This window comes from Homo sapiens, chromosome 10, assembly GCF_000001405.40.
Source record: "Homo sapiens chromosome 10, GRCh38.p14 Primary Assembly".
NCBI lineage: Eukaryota > Metazoa > Chordata > Mammalia > Primates > Hominidae > Homo > Homo sapiens.
Window position 1 is genome coordinate 107,399,457 of NC_000010.11, and position 6,000 is coordinate 107,405,456.

A 6,000-nucleotide genomic window follows, 5' to 3' on the forward strand; every position below is an offset into this window, starting at 1 on the left:
GTCTTTATGGTAAAATGATTTATATTCCTTTGGGTATATACCCAATAACGCGATAGCTGGGTCAAATGGTAATTCTGTTTTGAGTTCTTTGGGAAATCACCCAGCTGCTTTCCACAATGGCTGAACTAATTTACATTTGCGCCAGCAGTGTATAAACATTCCCTTCGCTCCACAATCTTGCCAGCATCTGTAATTTTTTGTTTTTTTAATAAAAATTATTTTAACTGGTGTGAGATGTATGTCTTCGTGGTTTTGATTTGCACTTCTGTAATGATTAGTGCTGTTGAGTATTTTGTCATATGTTTGTTGGGCACATGTATGTCTTCTTTTGAAAAGTGTCTATTCATGTCTTTTGTCTGTTTTTTACAATGAGGTTGTTTGTTTGTTGCTTGTAACTCTTTTTAATTCCTTGTAGATTCTGACCTTTGTTGGATTTTTGTCTGTTTTTTTTTAACGAGGTTGTTTGTTTTTTGCTTGTAACTCTTTTTAAGTTCCTTATAGATACTAGACATTTGTTGGATGCATAGTTTGCAAATATTTTCTCCCATTCTGTAGGTTTTCTGTTTACTACGTTGAAAAAGAGTTTCTTAATTAGGTCCTATTTGTCAATTTTTGGTTTTGTTACAATTGCTTTTGGCATCTTCATCATGAAATCTTTGCTAGGTCCTATGTCCAGAATGGTATTTGCTAGGTTATCTTTCAGAATTTTTATAGATTTGGGTTTCACATTTAAGTATTTAATTCATCTTGAGTTGATTTCTGAATATGGTGTAAGGAAGGGGTCCAGTTTCAATCTTCTGCATACGGAGAATCAGTTATCCCAGCATCAGCATCTTTATTTATGATAAAAAGCTGAAACAGCCAAATGTCAATAGATTAACATTTGTGTATATTCATACAATGAAATACATTTGAGGAATAAAAAAGGTATGAATCATTGATATAAGCACAAATGTACATCAATTTTTTTTGCTTCTTCATATGTCTAGTAATTTTTATTGGATGTCAGATGTTTTTAATGTCACATTGTTGAGTGACATTGTTGAGTGACATTGCTTTTCTCATCTTCTTTGAAGGTACTTTGGGGTTTTTTTCAGGTGTCAGTTAAGTTACTTGTTGAACTACTTGATACTCTTTAGATTGTTTTTATGCTATGTTAAGTCCTAAAGAGTAATAGTCATACTAGGTCTAGTTTAATCCACTTCATAAGTGATGAAATTGTTGGCATCTATGAATAACCTGTATTTTGAATAAGTTTCCTTTATCTAATCTGGCTGAATGTGAGCATCTCTTAGCTTTGTGTGAGATTTAGAAAGTTTTTTTGAGCTGACAGCTCTCAGGTAGTTATCATTTTTACCCCAGAAATTGTTCTTGTTCATCCTCATTTTCTTTAATCTTACATACTTGCTGCTTAGTTTTTAGACAAAGACTCAAGAAGTCTCTTATAGTACCTTCATTTCCAGCCACCTCAGTACCTAGAACTGTAATTTCAACTCAATGAGACTACTGCATTCTCCTTAGCCTTTCTACCCATGCAATTTTGTCTGGAAAGTGTTCCTAGGTAGATAGCCTGGGGTTACCATAGGGCTCAGCTTATTTATTTCTTCTTTCTCAAGGAACAGAGCCACACAGTAATATTGCTCAATGCCCCAAAACAGCTGTTTCATAGATTTTGTTCAATTTTCTAACTTAAAATCACAGGATGATGAGAAGTTCTGCTTTTGGAATAGCGGCATCAACAGCTACATGGACCTGCTTCTGGGAAAAACAAGTGTAACTGGTAAAATTTCTAATTTAAAAAGAGTTAAAGTTTTGGAATTGTCTTAAGAGCATACAACAAATGAAGAAGCATTTTTATTTTTTATTTTTGTGAGTACATAATAGGTGTGTATATTTATGGGGTTCATTTGATACCTTGAGGCAGGCATGCAATATGTAATAATCATATTATGGGAAATGAGGCATCTATCACCTCAAGCATTTATCCTTTTGTTAAAAACAATCCAATTATATTCTTTTAATTATTTGTAAAAGTACAATTAAATTATTATTGACTATAGTCACCCTGTTGTGCTATCATATACTAGGTATTATTCATTCTTTCTAATGACTTTTTATACCCATTAACCATCCCCATTTCCTTTCCACCCTCCCTACTACTCTTCCCAGCCTCTGGTCACCTTCCTTCTATTCTCTATCTCCATGGGTTCAATTGTTTGAATTTTTATCTCCCACAAATAAGTGAGAACATGTGAAGTTTGTCTTTCTGTGCCTGGCTTATTTCACTTAATGCAATGATCTCCAGTTCCATCTATGTTGTTGCAAATGATAGGACCTTACTCTTTTTATGGCTGAATAGTACTTCATTATGTATAAGTATCATATTTTCTTTATCCATTCATCTGTTGATGAACATTGAGGCTACTTCCAAGTTTTGGCTATTGTGAACAACATGAGAGTATAGATATCTTTTAAATATACTGATTTCCTTTCTTTTGGGTATTTACGTAGCAAAGGGATTGCTGGCATCTCTATTTTTAGTATTTTGAGAAACCTCCAAACTCTTCTCCATAGTGGTTGTATACATTTACATTCCCACCAACCGTGCGTGAGAGTTCCCTTTTTCCCCACATCCTTGCCAGCATTTGTTATTGATTTCCTCTTGGATAAAAGCCAGTTTAACTGGGGTGAGATGATATCTGATTGTAGTTTTGATTTGCATCTCTTTGATGATCAGTGATGTCGAGCACCTGTTCATATGCCTGTTTGCCACTTGTATGTCTCCTTTTGAGAAGTGTCTGTTCAGATCTTTTGCCCATTTTTCGATCTGATTATTAGATTTTTCTCCAAAAGTGTTGTTTGAGCTCCTTATATTTTCTACCCATTAATCCCTTGTCAGATGGGTAGTTTACAAATATTTTCTCATGTTCTGTAGGTTGTCTTTTCACTTTGTTGTTTGTTTCCTTTGCTTTTCAGAAGCTTTTAAACTTAGTGTGATTCCATTTGTCCATTTTTATTTTGGTTGCCTGTGCTTGTGGGGTGAAGAAACATTTCTTAAAAGAAAATCCATTAAACCTCAGTGAGAACAGCAAGAGTCTGTGTGATATGAGTTATAACTTGCTCCTCTCATCCTAATGTTTCCAGATCAGCATCATGGATGCCCCCACTTTGGGAGGATGTGCTCAAGAAAAACAGGGTTCCTTCTATTCTGAACTCCAAAATAAAGGATAAGGTCAATATCTCCCTCAAGAGAGTTGGTCATTTCTCATCCCCATCCCTACAAGCTCACTCACATCCTCCAAGTAAATTACAGAGGCTCAAATCCAAGAGAGTGTGGCCAAGAGTGTGGCCCTTCTTCCCCTTACAAATAGAGCAGAAGCTCTATACTAGGCACAGCAGGCTAATGAAAATAGGGCTCCAATTGCCCTTTTACAGCTCACTCACAGAGTGAAGCTTCCAAATGGGGAAAGGCAAGCCAGAAGACTAGAAGGTACTTCCCCAACATGGCTCTCTTCTCATCAAGCAGAGGTACCCTATAAGAAAAGTGGACCACTGTTCCTGAATCTGCAGCTTCAGATCAGTAATTGAGAGAATTTCCTCACTGGTAGAACTAGTCCACAAGGGCAGAGAGCTCTGAAGCTGTCCCCAAATAAACAAACTTTATTTGAAAAAGAACCTGGAATAGCTCAAGCCTAAGGGTGCTTCCCCGCTTTCCCCCACTTAAGATTGGATGGCAAGCAAATGAGAAAAGGCATGTAGCTAAACCACAGACTAGCTAGTTTACCAGAGAGAAAAATGAAAAGAGACCACTAAGAAGAGCTTCTCCAGGGACAGAACAAACCTCAAAGACTAGTCTCAAAAACTACCTCAGCAAAAGAGCTCCAATTTAATTGGTTCAGATTGTGTAGTAATTTATGCCCTAGGGCATAGTTGGTAACACTGGCAGAATCGAGCATCAAATAGAAGAAACTAAAAGGTCGATGTGATGCCAACAGGGACATAGAACTTAGCAAAGAGATCAGGGAGCGTCTGAGAGAGACCTGCTAAAACCGCTGTCAACTGAGGTTGACTTAGCGCATTCTGAAGGCTGTGCTCTCTGATCAGCAACTTCAGAGACTTAGTAGCTTTTGTTTTAAGAACCAAGTTTTCGATGTCTGTTGTACAGTGTAAGATAAATGATAGAGTGTTTGTGAGATGAAATGAATTGACATTTATAAAGCATTTAGCACAATGCTAGTGTGGAGTATTTGGTCTATAATGTCAATTGCTCCCCAGAATAACTGAAAATAAGACAGTTTATAAACTCAATATTAGACATTAAAACTTTTATCTATGCATATATTCCTAGCATTATAATGGTTCCCAGAGAAGGCAAGAAGAAAAGAGCTTAGTTCCTATCCTTTAGGAGCTTACATTCAAACCAGGGTGACAGTAAGTGGAATCTAAGACAAAATTTAGTTACTGTGGCAGAAGTAAGTATAGAATGCAATGGAAATACATCGGAGAGTAGAATGAATATGGCCTGGAAATGGGTGAATTGTAGGGAGGACTTAATGGAGAAGGCTTTGATTTGTACCTTGAGTTGTGCAGAGATTGCTGTCAGACACAGGTTGAACATATTGATTTCTTTCATTTTTAATCCTTCAGGAATAGTATCTAGGTGATTATTGAGATAGACTAGAGCAGGCATAAATCAATAAGAAGAAGGGTTTCATAAGAAAACTGGAGGGTGCACCCTCATACCTATAGTACATTTTGGCTGGTAAAATTATTTGTTTCCAATCCACTCGCAGTAGACCACGGTATTCCAAGCAGACCTCAGTCGCAGAAAAATCCACCCTCCACATCATTCTTCCCAGGAATTGGCCTTAGTAGGACAAATGCTCTTCAAACCTGCACAGCATTAATTCCATCGCTGTTATTCTATTGCTGTTTCACCCCACCTCATCTTATGATGATCAGAAGAGAAAAAGCTGAGGAAAAAAAGAGACTGTCAAATACAGCCCTTATATTTGCTAATAGATATGAAAAAAAATGCCCCTTGAGCTGTGATTGGTTTTGCTCAGGCCTGTTATTCTCAACCTCTGTGTAGTGCTGTATACATGTCTATCATTATTCCTCTAGAAGAAAAGATAGGGTACTGATAATGGATTATGAAGCATTCCTCACACTCCATGATGAGTATAATATAATAAAGATAACTGCCAAGAACTATACTAGGTCCATCAAATATTCACTCCCTAATTTACACTTTAGGTATTATATCTGAATGAGTAAGAGTGAATAGATATTTGTCTTATTTTGGTTTTCCCATAGCAGACCCTGAGACAGGGATTCCAGGCAAGGAGTTAATGTGAGAAGTGATCCCAGTGAAGTGGGTAAGTAAAACAGAGAAAGGAAGAGTCTTTCTCTGTAGAGGGATGCTTATCAAGAAAGTTACCATATACCTGCTTAGTATAGCTTATTATATATGCAAATTGAATCACATGTAATTATCACATGTAATCAGCTGTATTTCTATCTCTCTATATATAACTATAGTTATAGTTATATATATTTATATGGTTAACTATATTATATATACTTATATAAATTGTATCACAGATGATCACGTATCATACGTGTATGATGTGTGGAACAGGTTCAAGTGCCTGTTTGGTTTTAAGATATGCATTATTATTCTTATTTAATATTTTAGAAAACTTGCAAGGAGAGGTGAAGTTGCTTCTACAAGGTCAAACTTATCATTAGGAACAGAATAATAATAATCTGAGCCAGAAAAACTGTATGGTTCTCAGTTCTTAAATTTCTAGTTATAAAAGTTTAACCTATACCTCACACCCATTAAGATGGCTACTACAAATAGAAATGAACAAACGTTAAAGAGGATGTGGAGAAAGGGAAACCTTGTACACTATTGGTGAGAATGAAAAATTATGCAGGCACTTTAAAAAAATAGTATGACAATTCTTTAAAAGAATTAAAAATAGAATTGCCGTA

The 6,000-nt window shown here is 36.0% G+C and overlaps 1 long non-coding RNA gene across 2 annotated transcripts in view; it reads left to right on the plus strand.

The window, feature by feature from the left end:
• LOC105378474 (uncharacterized) overlaps positions 1 to 5,380 on the plus strand; it is a 37,010-nt gene extending 31,630 nt beyond the window's left edge. For both annotated transcript variants that reach the window (XR_946303.1, XR_946301.1), the window contains exon 3: positions 5,317 to 5,380. This is a non-coding gene — a long non-coding RNA (uncharacterized LOC105378474). The remainder of the gene's footprint in view (positions 1 to 5,316) is intronic.
• Positions 5,381 to 6,000: the final 620 nt, after the last annotated feature.